This window comes from Homo sapiens, chromosome 9, assembly GCF_000001405.40.
Source record: "Homo sapiens chromosome 9, GRCh38.p14 Primary Assembly".
Taxonomy (NCBI): Eukaryota; Metazoa; Chordata; class Mammalia; order Primates; family Hominidae; genus Homo; species Homo sapiens.
Genome location: NC_000009.12, coordinates 93,589,159 through 93,616,104, shown reverse-complemented (window position 1 = coordinate 93,616,104; position 26,946 = coordinate 93,589,159). Strand labels below are relative to the sequence as shown.

General features: G+C 47.7%; 1 protein-coding gene and 1 non-coding gene across 5 annotated transcripts in view, besides 3 other annotated features; both read right to left on the bottom strand.

The window, feature by feature from the left end:
• PHF2 (PHD finger protein 2) overlaps positions 1-26,946 on the bottom strand; it is a 103,004-nt gene that overhangs the window by 63,483 nt on the left and 12,575 nt on the right. The window lies entirely within an intron of this gene.
• Positions 3,326-3,375: an enhancer, noted in NCBI's record as "active region_28626". NCBI's record gives its function as "activates an Ori minimal core promoter by ATAC-STARR-seq in GM12878 lymphoblastoid cells {active_cell/tissue: GM12878}" and the evidence as "EXISTENCE:reporter gene assay evidence [ECO:0000049][PMID:35858748]".
• Positions 17,337-17,918: an enhancer, noted in NCBI's record as "H3K4me1 hESC enhancer chr9:96360469-96361050 (GRCh37/hg19 assembly coordinates)". NCBI's record gives its function as "activates a minimal SCP1, AML or CMV promoter by ChIP-STARR-seq in naive H9 embryonic stem cells {active_cell/tissue: H9 hESC(naive)}" and the evidence as "EXISTENCE:reporter gene assay evidence [ECO:0000049][PMID:30033119]".
• Positions 21,211-21,264, bottom strand: MIR548AU (microRNA 548au). The gene has a single exon (NR_049853.1). It is a non-coding gene; the product is annotated as a microRNA 548au (primary transcript).
• Positions 26,064-26,358: a silencer, noted in NCBI's record as "tiled region #10393; K562 Repressive non-DNase unmatched - State 23:Low". NCBI's record gives its function as "represses a minimal TATA promoter and a strong SV40 promoter by Sharpr-MPRA in K562 cells {active_cell/tissue: K562}" and the evidence as "EXISTENCE:reporter gene assay evidence [ECO:0000049][PMID:27701403]".

Genomic DNA, 26,946 nt, shown 5'->3' with positions numbered 1-26,946 from the left:
TTTAGTTTAGAAGTTTAGAGTCTAGGCAGACACTAAAAACTACAGCCCTTTTCCCTGGTGCTAGGCAATGGCCATGTCTTTCTTCCCTTATACTTTCCTGCGGTTTCCTAAATCACAGAAAATGAGCATGTATTCCTTTTATAACAAGCAACAAAAGTCCTGCTTTATTTTTAAAACCAGAATGGCCCCCGACAGCTCCCTTCCCAGCTCATCTCTTCCTGGCTTTCCTGTGTCCTGGTCCCCTGCAGAGAAGGCCTCCTGAACCATCCACCCTGGAAGGAGGCTGAGGACCCCTGTCTCCAAACCAGTGGGCAGATGGATTACTGCTGTTTGGAGTCCCCCAGGTGTCTCATAAGGAACCTGTGGGGAGGAGGGAAGAGGTCAAGTGTCAAGGAGCTAACAGGATGACAAGGGCAGGGCTCCCAGCACAGCACATGAGGCATCACCTGCAGCCTGTGACACCCAGTGCATGCAGAAACCCTGGGCAATGATTGCCACCAACAATTGTGGGACCACAAGAGGTACTCAACGTCAGTGAGTCTCAGACTCCTTCTCTGCAGAGTGGATCATCATATCTAGTAGAAGGTCAGTGACAGAAATACTGGAGGGATTGTATGTACCATGCCTACCACAGTGCCTGGCACATAGCTGGTGGCTGTAAAGATAGTTTACTGCTTGTCATAGTTATCATCACCATCATCATCGTCATCATCATCACTGTCACCATCATTACTATCACCATCATCACCATCACCATCATTGCTATCATCACCATCACCATCATCACTATCACTATCACACATCATCACCATCACCATCATTACTATCATCACCATCACCAATCATCACCATCACCATCAACACCATCACCATCACCATTACTATCACCATCACCATCACCATCATCATCACCATCGCCATCACCATTACTATCACCATCACCATCATCATCACCATTACTATCACCATCACCATCATCATCGCCATCACCATCACCATCTTTATTACCATCACCATCACTACCATCACCACCATCACTGTCACCATCATCGCCATCATCATCACTATCACCATCATCACCATCACCATCATTACTATCATCATCACCATCATCATCATCACCATTACCGTCATCACTATCATCACTACCATCATCATCACCATTGCCATCATCACCATCACCATTACTATCACCATCATCACCATCATTACCATCACCATCACCATCACTGTCACCATCATCACCATCATCATTACTATCACCATCACCACCATCGTCATTACCACCACCATCACTATCATTACCATCATCATCCTCGCCACCACCATCATCACTTTTTTTTGCTGGGCTAATGGACCATGACCCTAGCTTTCATTTCTGGCAGGGAGTAGCTGAGAAAGTGCAACACTCCATGGACAGAAAAAACAGAATCTCCGTGGAAAGAATGTTGACATTTCATTTCTCTTCCCAAGTGTGCTATGTCCATTCCTCCAGGACTGCGAGCTGAAGAGACCCCAGCTCAGCCCCTTCCTGTCTTTAAAGAAAGGATGGAGGGGCTGGGCAGCCTCTGTCCAGCTGGGCTGTGCCCCCACTTCACCCAAAGTTTCTTCCTCCCAAGCCATGATGCCTTCATTTGCACTTCTCTGTGCTTCTCTTCAGCAGGAGGGGCAGCCAGAGGGAACAGAAGCTAGCTGGGAACAGAAGCCACAGGGGAAACAGAAGTCACTGGGGTATAGAAGCCAAGAGGGAAATGAAGCTGGGCCAGTAGGCAGGAGGGGAGCCTCACCACCCTCTATGTCTGCCCCAGGGACACTGCTCCAGGAATCTGGAAAATGCCCTGCTCCTGGGTGAGGAAGTGAGGTCCACCCTGTGCTACTTAAAGAGCCTGTGCTGCTTTAACTTCTCAATTTGTCACAATCCACAAAACAAGTGGGTGACCACCCTGTAAGCCAAAGTCACTCACTCTAGAGGGAGGTGGCCATGGTCTAAGGTAGAGGGCAAGTCCTGACACCTTGTGCCTCTCCCGTTGGCAGCCTTGGGGCAGGTAACTCAGTGCCTTCCTTCATCCAGAGAGGGGACAATGCACCACCTACTCCACAGGCACTTGAGAGGATTAAACAGCAAGAAAGGGATGTGTAGAGGCAGCAGCACCAGGTCCACCCGGCAGCCAGGAGGAGAGGGGCCAGCCCAGGAGCTGACAACCCATAGAGACTTCTGGTCTGACAATGCGGGCCAGGTGTGGTGGCTCATGCCTGTAATCTCAGTGCTCTGGGATGCTGAGGTGGTATCCTTGATACTTGAGCCTAGGAGTTTGAAACCAGTCTTGGCAACACAATAAGACTCTCTCTACAAAAAATATAAAAATTAGCCAGCCATGGTAGCACATGCCTGTAAATCCCAGCTACTCAGGAGGCTGAGGCAGGAGGATCAAGGAGTTCCTTGCTTGAGCCCAGGAGTTTGAGGCTGCAGTGAGTTATGATTGCTCTACTGCACTCCAGTCTGGGATACAGGGTGAGACTCTGTCTCAAAAAAAAAAAAAAAAAGAAAAAGAAAATCAGAAGAACCCCAATCTCCACCGGGACCTACTGAGTCAGAACCTGTTCCTAAAGACAAGCCAGGCCTGGGCACCACTGCAGCAGAGCCTGTTTTAGGGCCCTTGGCCAACCCTAAGTGTCCCATCACTAATTACCCAGGGTTCCCCATGACCCATCGGGGCTATAACTTCTGTTACAGGGACCACAGAATCCCATCTAGAGGAGCAGCCCAAATGTGTGGCTAAAGTCCCAGAGCTGCCTTCCTGCAGGCATCTTTGCATGCGGCCACAGAGTCTATGCTGAGGTGCTGCCTTGAACCCGCTTCTCAGGGAATTCACTTCTCAACTACATTTCTAGAATATATTTGCTCAAAGAAAACCCCAAACACGACTGATGGGAATCACATACAGAGCAGAGCCACCTGAACTGTGGAGGTAAGTCACTTACCCTGGACAAGCCCTGGTTACTCAGCTCTCAGACAAAGTGCTTTGCCAGGCACATCTCAATAGCCCCAGACAGCTAAAGCTCTGTGACCAGGAAGCCTAGGGGCCTGGCACCAGCTGTGCTCGCTTACAGAGGAAGTGAGGAAGCCCTGGAGTTCCCATCAGCACCATCGCTCCACGTGAAGGGTGCAATTAGAGAGAAGTCCCCCATCTGTGAGCAAACAAGAGCATGTCAGGGCTGGTTATGGCATGGGCCTCAGAGGAGAACCGGCCCTTCTCACAACCCCACAGAGACACTGGTGGGTGGGGGACACCCCTCCCGGGGCCCTGCAAGAGTCTGCTGCAGCCAACCTTGTGGATACAAAAATCAAAACAATTCAGGACAATACCATAGATTCCTATTATTCTGAAAAACATCAAGACTCAAAATAAATGCTTGCTTGCAAATGAGTCATATGTACCTAAAGGAAACCTCCATCTACTTCTGAAATGCATGTGAAGGATGTAGTATACAATACAAAAATTCATTTTCCAAATCACAAAATGAAAACGTATCTGCCTGACTAGTGATTTTGTGACTTTAAGTAAACAGTTTATATAAAAGGCCACACAAACTGCTTTTTACCATATGAGAAGCTGTGCAATGTCACTTGTAGTAAGAAATGGAACTTGCAACTGCAATAAGATTTCTCACCTATCAGGCTGGCAAAGGTCAAAGGTGGGTGACCTTTAGGGTGTGCCTCACATGTTCCTGCTGCCACAGACCAACAAGCATTCTCCCATATTCTTGGCAAAACACACACATTAGTAAAAACTTCTTGGGTAGGAGCTGTTGGTATTTTAGACACAGACACCTGTTACATGTCCTCTCCCCATAGATACGTGGATCATGTGTATTCACTGCAGCAGCAAGATTAGAGCCAAGCTAAGTGTCCATTCTTGGGAGACTGAGAGGAATATTCTGAAGTGCCAATAAGTACAAATCCTGTATTTGCTGATCTGGAACAATTTCCAGGATGTATATTGTTCAGCAAAGAGCACAAGTTGCAGAAGAGTATAGAGACACACCTTTTTTGTGTGTGGAAGATTGAAGGAAATCCATAAATATGCCCCTCTGTAATCAGAATGTTCAGGAAAGACACACAGGCCCTTGATTGCAGTGGCCATCTCTGGAGAGGCCACACTTTGGTGGCTGTGCTCAGCAGGGAGAGAGGGCAAGCTTCTCACTGGAGACAAATTTTTTATTATTGAATATTTTCCTATGTATATATATTGCTACCCATCAAGGACTTTAAAGAATATTTTTAATCCTGGTGAGGCACAGTGGCTCATGCCTATAATCCCAGCACTTCAGGAAGCTGAGGCTGGAAGATGGCTTGAGTCCAGGAGTTCAGGACCAGCATGGGCAACATTGCAAGACCCCATCTCCACAAAAAATAAAAATAAAAAAGCGCCAGGCATAGTAGCATACACCTGTAGTCCTAGCTACTCTGGAGGCTGAGGTGGGAGGGTTGCTTGAGCCCAGGAGTTCGAAGCTACAGTGAGCTATGACCACACCACTGCACTCCATCCTGGGTGACAGAGCAAGACCCTGTATTAAAAAATAAAAGGAATATTTTTAATCCAAACAAACTGCTTTGATTCAAATCAGAGCTATTTTAATTTAAAATTTTATAACTGACTTTAAAAAGAATACTCTTTTTTTTTTTTTGAGACAGAGTTTTGCTCTTGTTGCCCAGGCTGGAGTGCAATGGCATGATCTCGGCTCACTGCAATGTCCACCTCCTGGGTTCAAGCAATTCTTCTGCCTCAGGCTCCTGAGTAGCTGGGATTACAGGCACACACCACCACGCCTGTCTAGTTTTGTATTTTTAGTAGATATGGGGTTTCACCATGTCGGTCAGGCTGGTCGTGAACTCCTGACCTCAGGTGATCCACCCACCTCAGCCTCCCAAAGTGCTGGGATTACAGGCGTTGAGCCACCGCACCCAGCCAAGAATACTCTTCTGACTCTCAAAAATAAATCTGTATAGAATGCAAGTCAAAAAAAGGGATGACATGTACAGAACTTCCAGAGAAAGTTGCTAGAAGCAGGCAAGAACTTGAGGCTATCACAGTATCCGAAAGAAGACTGAACAGAAGCCCATCCTGCCCAATCTTCTGATCTGTGAAACAAGGACACGAAAGCCAGGAGTGGAGACTGAGTTTGCCACAGCACTTTCAATCCTTCAACAATCACTGCCTGGCACTGCTGCAGGAGGCCCAATGCACAGGGAGAAGTCTTCTCTAAGACCATCCTAGGGAAATGTACAGACCAAAACAAAAGAGGCCCCAGAAGTCACATTTCTCCAAATAGGAAGCAGGGGGGCAAGCATATACAGATACTCCAGGTGACCTCCTCTGGATGGTAGTGTATAAGGGAACAGTCTTTTTGTTTTCCAATTTTTTTTTACTACAAAACATTATAAAGTACAATAAAAGCAAAATAAAACAAAACAAAACAAAAAACAACCTACACAGTCTGAAAAGACAAAGCAAACATGAGAACTAGACCCAGAGATGGCACTGATGTTGCAATGATCAGATCACAAATTTATTATTAATATGCTAAAGTCTGTAATAAAGCCTGCAAGGATAGGTGATGTAAGCTGAGAGATTGAGACACTAAGAAAGAATCAAAAGGAAATGCTAGAAATAAAAAACACTGTAATAGAACTGAAGAATGCCTCTGAAGGGCTCATCAATAGACCGGACCCAGCCAAGGAAAGAATCAGAGAGCCTGAAGATATGCCAATAGAAACTTCCCAAACTGAGGCATAAAGACAAAAAGGAACAAAAATGACAAAACAATATTCAAGAACTATGGGTTAATTACAAAAGGTGTAACAACATGTAATAGGAATACCAGAAGGAGAAGAAAAAGAGAAAGGAATAGAGGATATATCTGAAATAATAACAGCTGAGGATTTTCCAAAATTAATAACAGCAAGCAAACCACAGATCCAGGAAGCTCAAAAGATACCAAGCAGGATATAAGCCTCCCCGCAAAAAAAAATCTACACCTAGGCATATCACATTCAAACCGCAAAAAAAAATCAAACACAAAAAGAATATCTTGAAAAAAGTCAGGGAGGTCAGGCGCGGTGGCTCACACCTGTAATTCTAGCACTTTGGGAGGCCAAGGCAGGCAGATCACGAGGTCAAGAGTTCAAGACCAACCTCGCCAACGTGGTGAAACCCCATCTCTACTAAAAATGCAAAAATTAGTTGGCTGTGGTGGCACATGCCTGTAATCCCAGCTACTTGGGAGGCTGAGGCAGGAGAATTGCCTCAACCCAGGAGGTTGCAGTGAGCTAAGATTGTACCACTGCACTCTAGACTGGGTGACAAAGCAAGACTCCATCTCGAAAAAAAATAAGAAAATAAAAAAGAAAAATGTCAGGGAATGGGCTAAAAACACCTTACCTACAGAGAAGCAAGGACAGAATTGCGCTTGGACTTCTCCTCAGAAGTCATGCAAGCAAGAAGAGTGGGGAGTAAAACATTCAAAGTGTTGAAAGAAAAAAAAAAAAACCAACCTAGAATTCTGTATCCAGCAAAATTATCCGTCAAAAGTGAAGGAGAAATAAAGTCTATCAGACAAACAACAGTTCAGAAAATTTGTCACCAGTAAATCTGCCTTGCAAGAAATGTTAAAAGAACTTCAGAGAGAAGGAAAATGATATAGATCAGAAATTAGAATCTGTAGAAAGAAAGGGAGAGTATTAGGGAAGTAACAAGTGAGGATAAAATAAAAACTTTTTTCTTATTCTTGATCTAGCAGACAAGTTTGTTCACCAATAATAATAGCAACAATGTACTTCATGACTACTTCATGACTACAGTTTATGAGTAAGTGAATAACAATAATATTTCAAGGTATGGGAGGGAACAATTAGGAATACTATTTCTTGCTCTACCCATAGAGTGCTAAGTATTTGAAAGAGGACTTGGATTAGTCATAAACGTATATCGCACATTTTAAAACAACCACTAAAAAAAAGTTTTTTAAAAAAGCGTTATTGATATGCTGAGAGGAGAAAAAAATGGGATCACATCGAATGCTCAATTAAAGCCAGAGAAGGCATAAAAAAGATTAGACAAAAAGAAAAAAACAAAACAAATAACAGGAGCAATAAACAGGAAACAGTAACAAATACGGTATATATTAATCCAACTACACAAATAACCACTTTAAATATCAATGGTCCTAAATATAACAACTAAAAAGCAGACACTGTTAGAGTGGATTAAAAAACAAATAAATAAAATTTAAAAAAACAAGGACCAACTATGTTGTCTAACAGAAACCAACTTAAAATATAAAGACACAGATTAAAAGTAAAAGGATGAAACAACACTATGCCCACAAATTCAATAGCCTAGACAAAACAGACCAATTCCTCAAAAGATATACTCTGTCAAAACTCACACAAGAAGAAACAGAAATCTGACTAGGTCTATAACTATTAAAGAAATTGAATAATTAATAACCTTCCAAAATATAAAGCACCAGGCTCAGACAGAACCCACTGGTGAATTCCACCAACATTAAAGGGATAAATTATATCAACTTTCTACAGTCTCTTTCAGATGATAGAAGCAGAGGGAATACTTCCTTACTCATTCTGTGAGGCCAGAATTACCCTAATACTAAAACCAAACACATTACAAGAAAAAAAAAAAAAACTACCAATCAATATTTCTCATGCAAAAATTCTCCCAAAAACCAACGATGTACAAAAATAATAATTATTATTATTATGAGACAGTGTCTCAATCTATTGCCCAGGCTAGAGTACAGTGGCGCAATCACAGCCCACTGCAGACTCAAACTCCTAGGCTCAAGCAATCCTCTCACCTTAGCCTCCCGAGTAGCTAGGATTACAGGATTACTTGAAGCTTTCCCACTGAGATCAGGAAAAAGGCAAGGATGTCCCTCTCACCAGTTTTCCAACACTGTCCTGGAAGTTCTAGCTAATACAATAAGGTAAGACAAGACCAAAAAAGAACTCCTGGATTAATAATACATCTTTCTTCCTTCCTTTCCTTTCCTTTCTTTCCTTCCTCCTTTCCTTCTCTCTCTCTCTCTCATCTCCCTCCGTCTCTCTCTCATCTCTTTCCCTCTCTCTCTCTCTCTCTCTCTCATCTCTTTCCCTCTCTCTCTCTCATCTCTTTCCCTTTCTCTCTCTCCATTACATGCTGCTATGGTCTGATTAATAAGCAATTATATAGCAAGGATGCAGGAATACAAGATTGATATACAAAAGTCAATTGCTTTCTTATTTATCAGAAATGAACACTTGGAATTTGAAATTAAAAACATGGTATCATTTACATTCAAAATAAAATAATTAGATATAAATATAACAAAATATGTAGATCAAAGAATTAAATAAATGGAGAGATATTCCATGTTCATGGATAGGCAGAGTAAGTATTGACAAGATGCCAGTTCTTCCCAATTTGATCTACACATTTAGCACAATCCTAATCAATATCCCAGGCCAGGCACAGTGGCTCACACCTGTAATCCCAACATTTTGAGAGGCCGAGGTGGGCAGATCACTTGAGTCCAGGAGTTTGAGACCAGCCTGGGCAACATGGTGAAACCCTCTCCCTACCAAAAAAAAAAAAAAAAAAAAAAATTAGCCAGGCATGTTGGTGCATGGCCTGTAGTCCCAGCTACTCGGGAGGCTGAGGTGGGAGGATCGCTTGAACCCAGGAGGTAGAGGTTGCAGTGAGCCGAGATCACACCACTGCACTCCAGCCTGGGTGACAGAGTGAGACCCTGTCTCAAAACAAACAAAAAACAACAACAACAACAACAAAAACCCCAGCAAGTTATTTTGTGGATATTGACAAATTGATTCTGAAGTTTACATGGAGAAGTAAAGGACCCATAATAGCCAACACAATAGTGATGGAGAAAAACAAAGTCAGAGGACTGACACTCCATGACTTTGAGGCCTCCTATGAAGCTACAGTAATCAAGACAGTGTGGTGTTCGTGAAAGAATGTACTTTAATGGGACAGATTAATGGGACAGAATACAGAGCCAGAAACAGGCCCACACAAATACAGTCAACCAATCTTAGAAAAAGGAACAAAAGCAATACAACGGAGACAAAACAGTCTGATCAACAAATGGTGCTCTAACAGACATCCAAATGCAAAAAAAGAAAAAGAAAATGAATCAACACAGATCTTACTCATTTCACAAAAAACAACTTTAAATCATAGACCTAAATGTAAAATGCAAACTCATGAATCTCCTAGAAGGTAACAGGAGAAAATCTAGATGGCCTTCAGTTTGGTAATAAACTTTTAGATGCAACACCAAGCACACGATCCATGAAGAAAAAATTGTTAAGTTGGACTTCATTAAAATTAAAAACTTCTGCTGTGCAAAAGACACTGTTAAGAAAGTAAAAAAGACAAGCCACAGACTGGGAGAAAATATTTTCAAAATATGTTCTGTTAAAGGACTGTTATCCAAAGTATGCAAAGAACTCAACAATAAGAAAACAACCCAATTATAAATTGGGCCAAATAACTAAACAAACACTTCACTAAAGAAGATATACGGATAGCAAATAAGTACATGAAAAGATGTTCCACATTATATTTCATCAGGGAAATGCAAATTAAAACAACAATGAGCTCCTATTATGTAAGGCCAAAATCCAGAACACAGACAACACCAAATGCTGACAAGGATGTAGAGCAACACGAACTCTCATTCATTGCTGGTGGGGATGCAAAATGGTACAGCCACTATGGAAGACAGTTTGGTGGTTTCTTATAAAACCACACAGGCTGGGCATGGTGGCGCCCAGCCTGTAATCCTAGCACTTTGGGAAGCTGAGGCAGGTGGATTGCTTGAGCTCAGGAGTTCAAGACCAGCCTGGGCAATGTGGCAAAACCCCATCTCTACAAAAAATACAAAAATTAGCTGAGCACGGTGGCAGAGTCTCAGCTACTTACTTAGGAGGCTGGGGTGGGACGCTGGCTTGACCCCAGGAGGTGGAGGTTGCAGTGAGCTGAGATCACGCCACTGCACTCCAGCCCGGGCAACAGAGCCAGACCCTGTTGAAAAAAAAGAAAAAAAACCCAAAACTAAACACACTCTTACCAAATGATCCAGCAATCATTATACTCCTTGGTATCTACCCAAAGGAGCTGAAAACATGTCTACACAGAAAAACTTGCACATGGATGTTTATAGCAGCTTTATTCATAATTGCCAAAATTTGGAAGCAACCAAGATGCCCTTCAGTAGGTGAATGGATAAATAAACTGTGGTACATCCAGACAATGAAATATTACTCAGTGCTAAAAAGAACTATCAGGTCATGAAAAAAACATGAAGAGTCTTAAACGTATATTACTAAGTAAAAGAAGCCCAAGTGAAAAGCCGACATACTACGTGATTTCTACTATATGACATTCTGCAAAAGGCAAAGCTACGGAGACAGTAAAGTAGACAGAATGTCTACTACATGACATTCTGCAAAAGGCAAAGATATGGAGACAGTAAAAACATCAGTGGTTATCAGAGGTTTGGGGGTACTGGGAGGGATGGATAGGCAGAGCACAGAGGACTTTAGATGAAACTCTTCTGTATTACATTGCAATGGTGGATACATTTTAATGGTGTATATTACATTGTAATGGTTTGACTTTACAGTCAAAACCCATAGAAGGCCAGTCACAGTGGCTCACGCCTGTAATCCCAGCACTTTGGGAGACTGAGGTGGGAGGACTGCTTGAGTCCAGCCTTTAGAGGTTACAGTGAGCTCTAATCACACCACTGCACTCCAGCCAGGGCAACAGAGCAAGACCCTGTTTCAAAAAAATGTATAAAATAAAAATGTACAACACAAAAAGTAAATACTAGTGTAAACTACAGACTTTGTTAATGAGTATGTATCAATACTGGCTCATCAATCATAATAAATATACTACATTAATGCAAGACGCTATGAATGGGGAAATCGGGGAGGAGTTATGTGGGAACTCTCGATCTTTTCACTCTGTCTTACTGTAAATCTAAAATTGTTCTAAAAAACTTAAGTCTATTAAAAATAAATCACGTAGAAGAAGTTCTGTGTGCATGTCTACATGCTTCCTAAAGGAAAGATTCTGGGGAAATGTGGGGTCATCAGTGGTCATGGGTGGGAATGCTAAGACATAAAGGGAAGAACTACCCAGATGGGAAAATCTCATGAAGGAAATGCTAAAAAAAAGGCTCAGAATTCAAGGATTCTATCTCAGGTATTACTTAAAATAACAATGGGCATGCAAATGGATGAGCACTAGAATATAAGAAATTCTGGGCCAGGCACGGTGGCCCAGCACTTTGGGAGGCCGAGGCAGGCGGATCACAAGGTCAGGAGATCGAGGCCATCCTGGCTAACACAGTGAAACCCTGTCTCTACTAAAAATACAAAAAATTAGCCGGGTGTGGTGGCGGGCGCCTGTAGTCCCAATTACTTGGGAGGCTGAGGCAGGAGAATGGCGTGAACCCGGGAGGCGGAGCTTGCAGTGAGCCGAGATCGCGCCACTGCACTCCAGCCTGGGCGACAGAGCGAGACTCTGTCTCAAAAAAAAAAAAAGAAAGAAAATAAAGAAATTCTGTTTCTTGAATTCAGGAGATCATGAACCATGCTGCTATGGAATCTCAGAATCCTCTAAATCCTCTACGAATATAAAGAAGTCTTGCTCTCCGTCTCAAAAAAAAAAAAAAAAGAAGTCTCGCTAAATTTAACAGCAAGGCCTCCTGCCCCTGCCAGAGCCCATTCCTCCTCCAGGGCTCCTCCCACACCCAGGAGTCGAGAGCCAACTCACTCACTCGGTCCCCGGCACCTGCACTATGCCACCCTTGCCCAGACCTCAGCCCTGCAGGCCTCTTCCCTACCACACATCAACCTGTTTTTCCCATCTCAGAGGGGTGTCCCCATCTCAGAATCCCCTCTGTGCCTCCCTGCACTCCCCCATCTGTTTCCAGAGTTAGAAGCTGGGACTCTGCCCAACTCAGCAGAGATGCTCACTTTGACAGTCCAGGAGAGGCCAATGGGCACACACTGCCGTCTCCTGACTCCAGCAATAGGCTGCTGGGGCCAGAACCAGGCTTCAGGCTGGGGGATCTGGAGGTGGCCAAGCAGAGCCAGCCCCAAGGCCTCAGACTGAAGGTGAGCATTTAAGGAGAATGCACTGTATCAGGGCACACAGAACCCTATGGGGATGCCATGGGAGAGAGGAATGCCTCTGGGAGGAGGCGATGCTGGGGCTGGTCCTGACAGATGAATGAGGCTTCCCCAGGTAGGTAGGTGTGCAGATGAGGGGCGCTACCAGGCAAAGAAAGGTGAATGTGCACCTTGAGGTGGCTCTGGCAGTGATGTAGGGTAGCACCCAGCATGTCCTGACAGCAGATTGAGGTCAGATCCCCCTTGAATCTGCAGATGACGGGTGTCCCAGGCCCCATAAGGTCTGCATCGTGGGTGAATGTTCCACAACTGGACTTAAGCAGGGAGAGGCTAGAGACAGAGATCAGCAGCTGTAGGTCCCAAGGTGAGGGCTGGCCCAGAGGGGAACAGTGACCCCAGCAGTGTGTCCTACAGGAGTCCAGAGCCAGCATTACTTTGGGAAGACCATGAGCTTCTCAAAAATAACCACAACAACATAGACCGTGTCCACTGCTTGTCAATGCCCTAAACTCTGTCGCCGGAAATGCCAGCCTTCCCTGCCGTAGACAACCACAGCTAAGTCGGGGTCGGGAGGGCAGCGTGCAGTCACTGGCCTCTCCTGGGCCATCCGAGTGCCTCTGACCCTGGGGTCTTTTCTCAGACCGGGATCATAGAAAGCAAGTGTTTAGGTTGGCCTTTGTTCCTCCTGTCCACATAGCCTACTGAGGCAGAGCCCAGCCCTCGGCACCAACACGGAATCCACAAGATTCATGGCATGAACGTGATCATCCAGCCCAGCAACCGCTGAAGCCCCAGGGCCCTGAGAGGAAAGGGCAGACCTGGTCACCCACTACATTTCTTGGCCCCCACCTCCGCGCCCCCCTCCCAGTCCAAGCAACTCAGCGGTTCCCTTGCTTCACAGCATTCACCTCTGCCCTGCTGTATCCTGAGACCCCTGGGTAGGGCTCCCAGCCTCGGGCTCTGGGAGAGCCAGAAGGTTCCATTCTTCATGCAGGCCTCACCAGTCTGCCCTGAGGCTAGGCCACACCTAAGTGACCCTTTGAGGGGCAACATCACAACAAATGAGCTATAAAACTCGACTACAATCCTTTGACCAAATAACCTTACTCCTGGCAATCTGCCCCCAAGAGTGAGTCCAGAGAATCTAAAAAGATGCTTCTGGCATTTCCCATGCACCCGAGGTCCCAGGTGGCAGAGATGTCCATACAGCTAGGACCCAGGCATAACCATGAGCTTGCTGGGAAAAAAAAAATTCAAAACAGGGAACTGCACATTCACACACGCTAGAAAAAAATGATCAAAGTCAATAAACAAGAACCTCTAGGAGGCCAGGTGTGGTGGCTCACACCTGTAATCCCAGCACTTTGGGAGGCCGAGGTGGGTGGATTGCCGGAGCTCAGGAGTTCGAGACCAGCCTGGGCAACACAGTAAAACCCCATCTCTACTAAATTACAAAAAATTAGCCAGGCGTGGCGGTGTGTGCCTGTAATCCCAGCTACTCAGGAGGCTGAGACAGGAGAATCACTCGAACCCGGGAGGCAGAGGTTGCAGTGAGCCGAGATCGTGCCATTGCACTCCAGCCTGGGTGACAGAGCAAGATTCCATCTCAAAAAAAAAAAAAAAAAAAAAAAGAATCTCTAGGAATGCAAAATGACTTTAAAATGCAAAACTCAACGAACAATTTACATACTCAACGAAGAATTTACATACTTTTGTTCGATAGTTCCACCACCTTCAGAGAACTCGTGAACTGGAAGAGAGATCTGAAGAAACAACCCAGGCTGGGACACAGAGAAGCAGGTAGAGGATGAGAAAGCCCAGTTAGGAGCCACTGGGATGGAAGAAGAAGGACAGGTGAAAAAGAGCTCCAGAGAGGAGGACAGATGGCCGTGTGATGGTGTGGAATTGACAAAAGGCTGGCCACCCCCACCCCACCCTACCACCCCCGCACTCCCATCCTTGGGCGTGAGATCCCCATGAGAAAACCTGCACACTCACAGGGCTCCCTTCCATTTCCACAAGCCACAAGCCTCCTCCCATTGCTTGTCACCCTCATCAGGGACCCTGGCTGCTCTGCCCGTGGAGCTCCAGGAAATTAATGAGCCACTGATTCCTCCAGGGACAGGGGTGCCTAAACACAGCCCTCAGCACACAGCAAGCAATCCACGAGATTCATAGGGGCTCTGCACACACCTTCCCAAGACCTTGCTGAGGCCCTCCCTGCACACTGAGCCATCCCCTGATCTTCCCTGGGACCACGGAGACACCCTCGCAGCAGTGGGCCAGCCTGGGGGTGCCAACCATCCTGCCAACCACACAGAGCCCTCCCAAAATGCCAATCTAAAACATTTGCTTAAGTCCACCACTGGCTAATTCCTCCTCTTTTATTTATCAAATAAAGACACTGAAGGGAAAAAAAGACTAGGCCCTCTTAGGTGTGTTTTCCACCTGCCACAGCCTGTTTGCAAACTTAGCACCACTGTAGTGTCTGACATTCCTTCCCTCTCAAGCCCGAACCAACCTTAACTATTTTATAAAGTTATGCTACTTACAATGTCCCTTTCTGACACAGTTGCCACTGGGGGCCCTCAAGAGGCTCCCACCATGGGCTGGAGTCCCTGGCTGTATATGTGCAGACAGCCAAACCTGGGTGGGCCCCGGCCAATCTGCACGGTTTCAGTAGATGGGAATGCAAAGCTCTGTACACTCTTGAACACAAATAGCAGGGGAAGTAAGGATAATATGCCTTTTTTTCTCCTAGGGGATGTAAGTACTCACGGGACAAAGTCATTTGTGCTAATTAATAAAAACTACAGAAGGAAACCCTTACACCACCATAGCACAACGGAAGGCTATTCAGTTATTGCAAGAGAATTCTGTCATTCTCTGAAGTCACTCTTAACATTTATAAATCCAGAAATACAAACTTAAAGTTAATTGTTCCTTGAATGTGGTGGACAAGCACCTGCATTAGGAGGCTCAGATCATCTATGGCAACCCCACACTGAACACACCAGATCTGGTCCAGTCTTGGAAGCTAAGCAGGATCAGGCCTGGTTAGACTTTGAATGAGAGGCTGGCCTCCCCATAGCGCAGCAGAGCAGCAGTCCCCTTCAGGGCAGGGTCTGGGTGTGGCTGCTTGGGCCGAGCTCCCCTCCCCCAGTGCCAGCTGCTTCCTGCCACAGCATGGAGCCTGTGTTACCATTTACCCAGCCCTCCCACATGCCAGGGCCACCATCCCACAACCTGCGAGATGGCTGTGTCATCTGCATTTTACAGGTGAGCAGGAAGAGGCTGAGAGAGGTGAAGAGCTCACTCTGGTCACACCTGAGGTGGCTGAGCAGATCTGAATTGCAAAGCTGTCCCAAGCTACAAGAGCTTGCAAAGCTGTCCCACACTGCAATACCGTCCCATGTTGGGCCTTTCCCCCTCAAAGCAGTGTGGCTAAGGTAATGTGGGTCCCCACAGATAAGGACAGGCATCGGACTGGGAGATCACAAAGACGCAGCTCTGGACACTGAGTGCCCTGCCCTCCAGGAGCTGCCTCTTCCCCTTGGAAGAAATGTGAGGTGCCTAACACTTAGGACCAGGGCCTCCAGCAGACTGTCAGGGTGACACACACACACACAGACACACATCCACACACCCCCCATGCACCACCACACCACATACCACACACACATGCACATATGCTACAGACACACAGCACACAAACTGCACACACCACACACATTCACACACATTACACACATACCACACACATACTACACACATACAGACCACACAGACACAAACATCATACACATGCCACACACCACCCACAAGCACAGCAGGGACTTCCTCTCACCTGGCCACGCAGGCTGCATGGAGCTGGGGGCCAGGGGAATCCCCGGGGCTGTTCCTGGGCAGCATGAGGGCCGTGGACGTCCTATCTTTCTTGGCCTCAAAGTCTTCACTGATAAAGACAAAGGGCTGGTCTCCACCTGGGTGGCCAGACTCAGCAAACAAAACCACAGGACACCCAGTCAGACGAGTTTCAGATCAACGGAACTGGGAGCGTGGCTGGGCATCATGTATACACCTGGCCCCACCGGCGCCTCTAAATCCCTTTCGTGCTCCGAATCCCCCTTGCTGCAAGCAGCTCACATGTGAAATGAGGTGCTGGACCACATCAGCCCTCGTGGTGGCATGTTATGGTTTAGTGAAGTCCAGGAAAGGTGAAACTCACAGGTAACCACCGAATATCTCGGCTGAGAGGCCAGTCCCCCATGAGCTGCTTCACCGGCATTTGTTCCTGGTTTTGAAACACTGGCATTCAGGCAGTGAGTGTGGCATGCTCTTTGGCTTGTTTTCTAAAATCACTGTTTCCAACCTCCACGCACTCCATCTCCTCGCACCACCTCTGCCACTGTCATTTGGAATTTGTCAGGAACCCCCTGCCTGGATCCCAATGGGGTCCCACTTCTTGGGCTTGCTGGAGCAACAGGAGCTGGCCTGTGGTAATTGAGAGGGGAGAGCAGCCCACAACGTGGTGGCAGGGCAACCTCCCAGTGGGCACAGCCACTCTCCAGCCACACCAGTGCCACCTAATCCCTGCCTATCATTGCTCCTTGAAGATGAAGACGATGACGGTAAAAATAAACACAGCAGCAGCCCGAGGTCCAGCAGGCCTTCTTCGGAACCCACCCTGGAGAGCCCCTGCAGGTGCATGCAATAGGCCACCTGGTACTTCCCCATCTCCCTGGCAGAGGGTCCCTGGGATACCATGAAAGCCACACCCATGGAGATGGACACGGGACTAGCTCGCTGAGACCTGTGCTGGACACAAGAAACAGGCTGCTGAGCAACAGTGCAATAAATGACATCATGTCTGAGAGGCACGCACAGTACAAAACAATGCTGCTTCCAAGGGCGCACACGGACATACCAGCCACGTCAAAAGGTGGGGCTCAGTGGGAAGCCCATAACGGTGTGGAGGCCAACAGGAAGGGAGGGGCTTACGGGGAGGGGCTTACAGGATGTGGTGATGGGCTTCTTAGGGGAATGCATTCCTGTATGAGCTGGAGGTGATTAAAATGAAAATTTTAAAGAAACAAGGGCCTCCATGTGAGCCCTGCCCTGCCTGCCTTGTTGTCAGCAGCCTGGGATGGGGACTGAGGAAAAATGGTCAAAGTACAGCCTCATCCCAGCCCCAGGCCCCGTGGATGCCCCTCCTCAGTGGGGCCTGCCAGGGTGAACCCCCGCCCTGATACTCACGAACAACCTCTTAGGAGGGTGGGGGGCTGACAGAATGCCTGCACCATGCCTGCTATTAGCAGGTGATGGGACAAGGGTGGCTCAGAGGCCAGGACTATCATGGACACAACCCACTTCTGACGGGGGTTGGCAGCTTTGTTTTCTCAAAACTGCCACTTATGGAAGGGTGGTACATCCAGCCCCCCGGGGCCCCATGGACTGACAGCCCGACAAACACCCAATGTCCCTCTGGACTGCCATCCTCTGGTAGGATGAGAACCAAGGTCCTGATGATAAGCGCAGTGGCAGGGTTCCCGCAGCACGGCCCTCTTCACTGGCTGGGAGTGAATCGCGATTAAATGCTAAGTCTGATGCTCACTTGTCAAAATAACCCGTCCACAGTGTGCTGCATGCCTGGCGTGAGTTGGGCTTTTCCTGTCTCTCCTTAGAGGCATCTGGACTTCTCAAGCCCCATCCCTGGGGTGTCACCAGGCAGATGGCAGGCCTCCCCGCAAGGGGCCTGAGGAGCTGCAGGGGCAGGCCTGCCAGCCTCCACCCCAGCTGGGGACCATTCAGCCAGAACAAAATGCACTCGGCCGGCCCATAAAGCCCACTGATGGCCAGCTGAGCTGGCAGAGGTGCCCCCAATGTGCCATGTTGACCTGAGGACCCCTGCCCATCAGAGTGACCCCAGAGTGCCCAGAGGAGTAGAGGTGTCAGGCCAAGATGCTCTCCTGGGGAGGAGGAGGGATTTGGAAATTAAAGGAAGATCTGAGAGGAAGAGGGGAGAGTTCTTTAAAAATCCCCCAATCTTGGCTATAAGATACTTCCCAACACTGTTCTCAAAAGGGAGGCTGGAAGAACCCACAAATGTAAGGGGCACATGAAAAGGTGCTCAGCAGCAAGGTGACTGCAGTGCCACATAGGCCTAAGGGTAGGTTCCAGCCTCATGGGGATGAGCCTCCCTCACCTCAGGACTACACCAGGCTCCTCCCTGGCAGTAAAACACTCAACCATACCTGTACCCTGAAACTCAAGCCGAGCAGCCAAGCCATAGCCATGCTGTGGACCAATGTCCCACTGCCTGCCCCCAATGCCACCCCCAACCCCGCTTCCTGCCCCACAGCCTGACTGATTCCAGGGCCCTACACTCTCAACCAGGTCAGCCCACCATGCTCTCCTTTCCTGACAGAGAGCAGGTGGGAGGCTACCTGCACAGTCTCCCTCCAAGCCCAGTGGCCCAAGGGTCTGCATGGTCTCTGCAGCTCAGCCTCCCACTTCTCAGAGCTAAAGGGTGTGGAGTCCCAGGAGCAAAGAGAAGCTAAGACCAAAGACCCTGAATGCCTGACCCTCCTGCAGCCTAGCCAGATTCCATGGCCAGGCACTCTTTTTAAGATTTTTTAAAACTTGGCAGAGGCCAGGCGCGATGGCTCACACCTGTAATCCCAGCACTTTGGGAGGCTGAGGCAGGCGGACCATGAGGGCAAGAGATCGAGACCATCCTGGCTAACACGGTGAAACCCCGTCTCTACTAAAAATATAAAAATTAGCTGGGTGTGGTGGCGGGCACCTGTAGTCCCAGCTACTCGGGAGGCTGAGGCTGGAGAATGGCATGAACTGGGGAGGCAGAGCTGGCAGTGAGCCGAGATCGTGCCACTGCACTCCGGCCTGGGAGACAGCGAGACTCTGTCTCAAAAAAAAAAAAAAAAAAAAAAAAATTAGCTGGGCGTGCTGGCGCGTGCCTGTAGTCCCAGCTACTCAGGAGACTGAGGCAGGAGAATCGCTTGAACCCAGGAGACAGAGGTTGCAGTAAGCCAAGATTGCACCATTGCACTCCAGCCTGGGCAACAGAGTGAGACTGTCTCAAAACAAAAAACAAAAAACAAAAAAAAAAAACGGCAGAAACACTGAGGCATGAAGGTGCAATTTGCCTGACTCTGCCCAGAGACACATGCTCAGCTGCATGCATCAACACCTTCCTGGGAAGCAAGCTCCCTAGGCACACAGGAGGCCAGTGATCATGAAGCCCTCCAGCACCACACAGCCTCTCTTCCTGCTACAAAAAGGAGTAGCACTCGAGCCCTGCCCCTCCCGACTCCCAGTCCTCTGAAGGTTCTGGGTGCTGGCTCTCCCACTAGGATAAACCTGGCCCACCAAGAAGCACACCATATTCAAGAAGGGCAGGTTTTTAGGGCTGAGACATCACAGTACACACCAGCTGGCCAGTGCACACGCATTTCTTCATTCATTCAAGCACTCCTTCATTCCTTCAAGCATCCATGGAGCCTTGATCCCTGGTGCTGAATTTGGGCTAAATGAAAAATGCAGGGGCCCCAATGAAGCTTCAGTCAGCTCCACTCCTCCAGCTGCCATCCAGGTGACATGCAGCTTGCCCTCCACTCGTGGGCACAGGGGGTCCCAATAGAAACAGGGAAACCTCCTCCTAACCCACAGCTGTGCAGAGTATCATGCTGGACTGAGGTCAGCTTCCCAGGACAGCCCCCACTCCATGCGGCCTGCCTCATATGCCACTAGACCCAGCACACAGAAGAGGAAGAGCCAGCTTAACCAGAGAGGCCAAGAGCAGTGGAGCCGGGAGGGCAGTTCGCCCATGAGGACAGACCGTGGGTAAGCCAGCAACTGGGAAATGCCCCATCCTGCTGGTGGCCACAGACATAAGAATTCAAAGACTAGTTATCAAACCTGAAAGAGTACAGTATCACCAGTGCCTGTGAGACAGGAGTAAAACTAACATTAACACAACCCTTATAAATTTGCCCACTCAGGGATTATAGAGAAAATGGATTAACATCAGGATGTTGACTTTTTGTTTCATGAAATCCACCTCAGGAAATCCAGGTCTAGCATCCTCAGGGAAGTTCCATCAAGAGGAAGGCATCTCTGGTTACGCACATATTTACCTGCAAACCAGGTATGTATACACACATATGCCCAGTGGGCGCATGCACAGCCGCACTCATCCTTGTTCACAGAAGATGCAAATCTCGGTCTGTGTATAAAGTGTGTCTGCACATGCAGAGAGGAGCCATGCACAACGCTCAGACATATGTGCAGGCATTCCAGACACAGCTTTGGGCCAATGAGTGGTCACACAATGAAGACAACTAGGAAATATCTTCTGTGACTCCAAATCCTAAATTTCTTCAGGTTTACATTATATTTTCATAAATTCCTTACCGTCATTCCTAAAGTAGATTCAACTGAAAGCGGCTCCTCATATTGTAGCGTCAGGCTTCCCTACTCTCTACCTCCAGGTGAAGAGTATCTGTAAGTATCTGAGCATCCACAGATAATCACACAGCATCCCTAAGTATCTAAGTACATATAAGTAATCATTTAGTGTCTATAATTACCCAAGTATCTGTTAGTAATAATTTGGCATCAGTAGGTACCCAAGTATGTGTAAGTAATTATTTAGTATCTATAAATACCTGAATAGTTATGACTAATCATTTCTCATCTGTATTTGGGTACCTGCAAGTAATCATTTAGCATCTGTAAGTACCCCTTTAAAGATAAGCACCCAAATGCCTGTTAGTAATTATTTAGCATCTATAAGTACCCAAGTATCTGTAAGTATTCCTTTAGTATTTGTAAGTACCTGAGTACCTGCTGGTGATTGGCATCTGTAAGTACCTAAGTAACTATAAGTATTCCTTTAAAGCCTGTGCAGGAAGAATCTCCATTCTTCAAATGAAGATACATAATTCCTTCAGAATGATATTAGGCTGGTGCAAAAGTAACTGCCATTAAAACCAATAGCAAAAACCGCAATTACTTTTGTACCAACCTAATAACATCTTCAGACTGGAACTTAGGCTGGTCTGTGTCCTCAGCCGGTGTGGACTAAGGCTGGTGTCCACTGGGCTCTCCTCAGCGGTCCTATCTTCTGTCAAACCCCCATGTACCTTGCAATCCACATGTTTTAGGCACAAGGTCCCAATGTGCTCTCCCACTCATGCTGTCACTGGGAGCAGTGACTGGGAGCTTAGCTGCCAATCAGCAGGAGGGCAGTGCCAGAGGAAGCTCAGTTCACACAGCCTGTGGGGTCCTCTGCAGGTGTCCACAAGCTGGGATCCCCACTTGCAGTAGACCCTTGGGGTGAGGAAGTACACCCGATGACAGCTGTGACACGCCCTGCTGCTCTGGGAAGTGGTGGCTGCTCCTGGTGCCATGGGAGGCCCATCCCTGACCCAAGAGTCAGGAACCTATCAGCCTGAAGAGGCTGGGAACAGGAGCCGCCCCGACCTGGAATGTTCCCAAAGCAGGGGAGGGGCTGACTGGGCGGGGCCCTTTTCAACTGAAAACTCTTACATGCAGGCTCATGGTCAATGGCCTGTCCACCCACAGGGGCCCTCGGGTAGCTCTGGCCAACACAGGCAGATAGGCTGCAGACTAAGCTAATGTGCATTGTGCATTAATGGAGGGGGGGGGGGTCACATGAGAAGAGGGGGTGTGCCGGAAGGGCAGATATCTCCGGAAGGGTGAGGTGTCCTCACCCACCACAGCTCCTTCAGGGAGGCCTGGGGCCAATTGCTGTGCAGCAGAGAGAGCTACCCAAGCCCCAGTGTCTATAAAACCCACAGTCCATAAAATCTGTAAAACAGGAGGCCAGGCAATATGACCTCTAAACCCTGATGGTCTTACTCCCTTGCTTACTTTATATCTGATTATAAAAGTATTAAGCTCTTGGAAAACAAATTGGAATGTACAGAAAAGTACAAAAGTGGTAGGAAAAACGTAATCTTAACCTTTAACATGTTGGCATATTCCCTCCTAGACCGTCTTCCATTTTAATTGGTTGACACCAGCCATCACATTATGTGTGTAGTGTTTCATTTAATATCATCATAAAGATATCCCCATAGCATTAAAGCCTTGCTGTAAACATCACTGCTGACGACTGCATAATTTCCGATTTACAAGAGGACACTGTCATTTGCCTAGTCATCCCAACTTCATCATTCAACAGTGTAGAATTCTTGATAAATTAAATAAATATCTAAAATATTCATTCTTTATATACTTTTAAATTTGTTATGGTGGATTTTTAACAGATATTACAGATAAAGGGCATGGTCTCTTTAAAAAATCCAAAGCAGGTTTTGGAGCATACTCCAGTGGTTTCTAAGGAAACCAATTGTATGCAGATGTAGAGCAAATATCTCCTTTGGGAAGTTCTGGGAATTACAGCCTTCAATCTGGATAAAAGCCTCAGAGACACAAGACAAATTTGACCAGAGAGCAAATGTAGTCCGAGGTCATATTAACAGAAATAGGAACTCTAGACTAAGGGAGGTGAGGGCCCTGTCCTCAGCCCCCACCATACCCTGGAGGGTAATTAATGACCTGGCAGGTGCCTTGGGTCCAGGGGGTGCAGCCCTCAGGGGTCAGCTTTGGAATAGAAAATGGAAATAAAGGAGGCCCTCCCAACAACTCCAGGGAAGGGGGTGCTGCCATGTCCCGTCCTGCTGGAACAGTTTAGCATCTGTTCTTAGTCCTTTTTTTTTCTTTTTTTTTTTTTTTTTTTTTTTTTTTGGCATAAAGGACAAGAAAAGCAAAGATTAGGATGTGGAAACCTGGATGGGCAAAAGCAGCTTGAGGCCCTCCCTCCAAGGACCTCTGGATGTGCCCTGCCCTAGACTTCTTGAGGGTACAGCTGCAGGGCCTGGGGCCTGGATTAGGACAGAGCTGTGGTCCTCCAGTTGGAGAGGGAGTCTGGGGCTATGAGGCTGGGATGGTACCAGCTAGGGCCTCTCTAGCAATACTTCTAACAACAGCCAGGTGGACTGTGAGCCAAGGTGCAAGGCCACGTACTGGTGCTTGGCCCCCTCTGTCTGCAGCTCCTGAGCCACTCAGAACATCAGTGTTCACATCTATAAAACAGGGACACAACCTGGCTCACCGGATGAACTGCAGGTGGCAGACATCAGCTCAGATACCCCAGTTACACCTCAGGTCACTGGCACCAAGAGAAGAAAGGACGGACAACAGCACGCTTTGGCTCGGGAAAGAGCCTCTGAACACTGAGCGACAGAGACTCACCAAGCAACCACAAGCATTAAGTCTTGTCCCTAAGCTCCACCCAGCAGGCGGGATATTCCAGGAACTGCCATGAAACACTCTCTTACCAAGCAATTGGTAAAACTTACAGGTTGCCAAGTGTTGCTAGGGGAACTTCACCAAGAACCTATGGCTTAAATCACTAGGCAAAGGATGCAGATAATTTTAAACAGGTCAGTGATGGGGGCAATGATGCTGCGCTCCCCAAATGAGTAAAGAATGGGCCCGCCCTGAGTGTTGTGTCTGCCTGGGATCACCCCGCTGCTCCCACAGTGGGGACCAGCAGCCCCTGCAGAGGCAACTATCTTCCCAGGGATCCCCCAGGAGTTTGAGAAAAAGACCCTGAGATCCCAGCAGGCCAGGAACAGAAGTGTGGCCCCAGTGAAAAAGGGCTCCTGGGAGGTGCACACTGAGAGCCCCTGGCCCTGCCACCCATCACAAGGTGGCAGGACTGGGGACCTCCAAGAATGGGGACCAAGGTGTCCCTGGTTAAGGCAGAATTACAATGACCCCTGGGTAAAGAGTGAAATGCACAAACACCAGAGAAGGCAGGAAGCAGAGTGGGCGCTGAGCAGCTGGGGAAGGAGCTGGCTCTCCCAGCAATGCCCTCGGGCAGGTATGTATTCACAGCCCAGAGCCTCAAGGCCTCTGCAGGTGAGCAGCCAGACTAGGAGCAGGCCACACAGCTAGGTCCCCGAGCAACGGCCAAGCATCTGGGGTTGAGGTCCCTGTGGGGCACTGGGCTCTTGACAGATGCTCTCTCGGGCTTCTTCCTCTGACTCCCTTGCTAGGGAAGCTGTGACGTAGATTATCACTCATCAAGGCCAGAGGCAGAGGGGATCCCTGCACTCAGACATGTAGGCCAGGACACCCCACCCACATGGACCCTGCCCAGGGTCTGGAGTCTTCCTAGGATCGAAGCTGAATTCTGTTACAGTGATTTCATTCAGAGAAAAAAATTCAGTGTAAGGGAAAGAATAGGTCAAGGGAGGAAGCAGGGACTCTGGTCCCCACCCTGCCCCTAACTCACTGTGCAGCTTCAGTTTCCCGCTTGTGAAAAGAGGCTTGCTCCCTGAGACGCCCCCAGTCCACACGTCCTACTCACATGGTATGCAGAGGCAGGTGCCCGTGCAGCAAGGCCACGGTACAGCCTGCTCCTGAATGGGTGCCTAGCCCAATCCCAAACTGTTCTACTAGACTTGGCTTTTAACAGAGACGAGTTCAGAAGACTAATTTCATTACATCTTCCTTTCCAAAGAGTAGTTTAAAATCTAATAAAATAATACACATTTGGCATCTAGAAGAAACTATGATCAGGAAAAAGCATCTGTGGCCATAAGTGGTTATGACAGACACGGTCAGGGCCAGACAAATGTCAGTGGGGAGAGGGGTGCTGGGACCTTGAGTCCCAGCAGACTGTGAGTGAGCATGGGTCACAGGAGGCACGGCTGCTGGCCCCCATGACAGGGCCTCACCCACCACATGTCTGCTGAGTGATGTTGGATCCCTCGGAGGGTCACAGCAGTCTGCCACCTAACCAGGCCAAGTATGGCCCCGGAGCTGTTGGGATGTCCACACTCAAGTTGGGGAGCCACCCAGAGGTGTGTGAAGGCATCTGGGGAGAAGCGGCCCCTCAAAGGAACACAAATCATAAAGGGATATTCAAATCTCAGCAGTGCTGCTCATGTGTGCCAGGGCCATAGGACAAAGGGGAGTCAGAAACCACCACCACAACCAGAGGGGCTGAGGAGACGTGAGGACCAGCCCATGGCCTCTGGGGTGGTCCCTTCAGGGGAAGGATGCTGCAGGGAGGACTGTGGCCCCAGCAAGCCTGCAGCCTCCTTGGTGGGAATGGACACTGGCTCCTGCCACGGAGATGTAAGATGTGCACATTCAGGAACACTGGCCGGGGTATGTGGAGATGCTTGGTACCATGTTTACAACTTTTCTGTAAATCTAAAACAATTCTAAAATTAAAAGTTTATGGGGAAAATAAAGCAAATGAGGCTTGGCCTCACAACAAGAGTCAAACAAAGAGGGGTATTTAGGAAACAGATGAGCTTTCCACCTCTGTGGACTGAGCATCCAGGAAGCACCTGCCCTGGAGTTCTGTGGGGCTCCACCAGCTCTGGGGCAGGAGTGGGAGAGAGTGGAAGGGCCTGTTCCCAGCCCATCAAAGTGGGGCGCCCTTCTCATATCTACTTCTCAGGGAAAACCTGCTTTTCTGTCTTCATTAGAAAGCACCAGGGCTACTGACACAACTCTACAACTCTAGGGAGGAAAGGATTTAAAAGTGAGTGAACTCAATAATTAGATAACTGCACATTAAACCATAGTGAGGTATTCTTTTTCACCTTTCTGGTTGAATTGACAAAGATCAAAGGCTCAGAAAATGTGTTGCCCAGTGTGTAGAGAAATCAGTACAACCAATCTGACGATTTTAAAATCCGAAATGCTATATCCTTCAGCCCAGCAACTTTACTTATTTGAATATATCCAGCAGATATACATGCATACATGCACAAAAACATACAGACCAGGATAGCCAGGGAGCAACACCGCAGTGGCCTCGGATGAGAAATGAGCTACATGCCAACCAGGGGAAGCAGGAAGTGCAGGAGGAGCATGTTTGCTGGAGCCCCAGCAGTCAAGAGTGACGACCCAGGGTCACTGCAGAATCACATTCACAGCGCACTGCTGTTTGTGTGGAGAGAGGGAAAGGGGGTGGCTGTGGAAACATGAGACATCACTGGAGCTGGGAGTCCGCTCCAGAGAGAAGAACGGGGAGACAGGGGAGAGGCACGCATTCCACTGCATTTCTTTCGAATTCTCACTCTTTTTAAAATTTTTCTTACCATGTGCTAATGTTCTGTTTGCAAAATAAATTCAATCAAACAATTTCAAATGAATAAATGTAGCTGATGCCTTATCAAAATAAATAAATATAAGAAAAGACAGGTGGGTCACTGACTTTAATTTCCAAGTGATAAAGACACAATACATTCAACAGGTTAGTCATTTCTTGCCCTCAACTGGGTATAACTGTGTCCCCAGGAGACAGTTGGCAATTTCTGGAGACACTCTGGCTTGTCAAATGTGGGCGTGGGGCAAGCGGCAAGGTGCTCCTGGCACCTGCTGGGTGGAGACCAGGACTCAACATCTACAGCGCACAGAAAGCCCCTACACAAAGAATTCTCCAGCCCAGACGTCAGCCGTGCAGAGGCTGAGAAATCCCACCCACCACACACACAGTTTCCCTACACAGTGTCTGCTGTGGGGCCAGTTTCAATTATTAGAAAGGTTTCCCTCAAACTGAACCCAAATCTGCCTGCTTATAAAGCTTCCTGCTCCAAACTTTCAGTGAGCACTTGGTTCCTTCCCAGGACTGTTATTGGGACAGC